Below are 1,131 nucleotides of genomic sequence, written 5' to 3' on the forward strand. Positions count from 1 at the left end.
AGGAGATTTGGTAAACATGATAGACAGATGCATAGATTGATTAAATTGTGTTTTCCAAAATGATACCTCAAGTCCTAACCTCTGGTAACTGTGAATGTAACCTTATTGTGAAATGAGGTCCTTTCAGGTGTAATCAAGTTAGGATGAGGTCAGACTGGATTAACGTCTACCATAATCCAATGATTGGTGCCATTATAGGAGACATAAAGAGCAGAGAATGCCATGTGCAGATACACAGACATGAACACAGGCAAGAAGGCCATGAAAAGATAGAGGCAGAGATTTGAAGTGGCAACCACCAAAAGCTAAGAAGAGGCAATAAAGTATTTTTATTGTCTGTCTTTAGAAAGAACATGGCCCTGCTGCCACCATAATTTTGAACTTACAACCCCCCAAACTGTGAGATAATAAATTTGTTCTCTGAAGCCAACCAGTTTGTTATTTTGTAAAAGCTGACCCAACAAACCAATACAGACGATTAGACAATAAACTAGAGAGATAAATTACTATACATACAGGAGGCATGTAACCTTGCCCTGAGTTTCATACCTGGATAAGATAAAGTCCTGTCCCTTTCAGTATTATTTAATGAGGCTATATTTGCTTTGCTCCCTTGGGACTCCTTCTGGGGAGCCATGAATTCTTTGCAATATTTGATAGATAGTGGAGGCACGGTTCTTAAGCAAAAATTACTATTGCTCTTACCCTAATTGATATGGTTTGGCTGTGTCCTCACCCAAATCTCATCTTGAATTGTAATCCCCGTAATCCCCACATGTCACAGAAGGGACTAGGTGGGAGGTAATTGAATCATGGGGGCTGTTTTCCCCATGCTGTTCTTGTGATAGTGAATTTTCATGAGACCTGATGGCTTTGTAAGCATCTGGCATTTCCCCTGCTGGCAGGCATTCTTTTTCCTGCCGCCCTGTAAAGAGGTGTCTTTTGTAAAGAGGTGTCTTTTGCCATGATTGTAAGTTTCCTGAGGCCTCCTCAGCCATGCTGAACTGTGGATCAATTAAACCTCTTTTTTTTTTCTATTAATTCACTGTCTCGATTATATCTTTACTAGCAGCATGAGAACGGACTAATACACACTAGTCTACGATGTAACTGAGAGTATAAAAACATGAA

At 39.9% G+C, this 1,131-nt stretch overlaps 1 annotated feature.

Moving 5' to 3' along the window:
- Window positions 610-1,131: an enhancer, noted in NCBI's record as "OCT4-NANOG hESC enhancer chr2:194829935-194830456 (GRCh37/hg19 assembly coordinates)". NCBI's record gives its function as "activates a minimal SCP1, AML or CMV promoter by ChIP-STARR-seq in naive H9 embryonic stem cells {active_cell/tissue: H9 hESC(naive)}" and the evidence as "EXISTENCE:reporter gene assay evidence [ECO:0000049][PMID:30033119]".

This window comes from Homo sapiens, chromosome 2 (genome assembly GCF_000001405.40).
Source record: "Homo sapiens chromosome 2, GRCh38.p14 Primary Assembly".
NCBI lineage: Eukaryota > Metazoa > Chordata > Mammalia > Primates > Hominidae > Homo > Homo sapiens.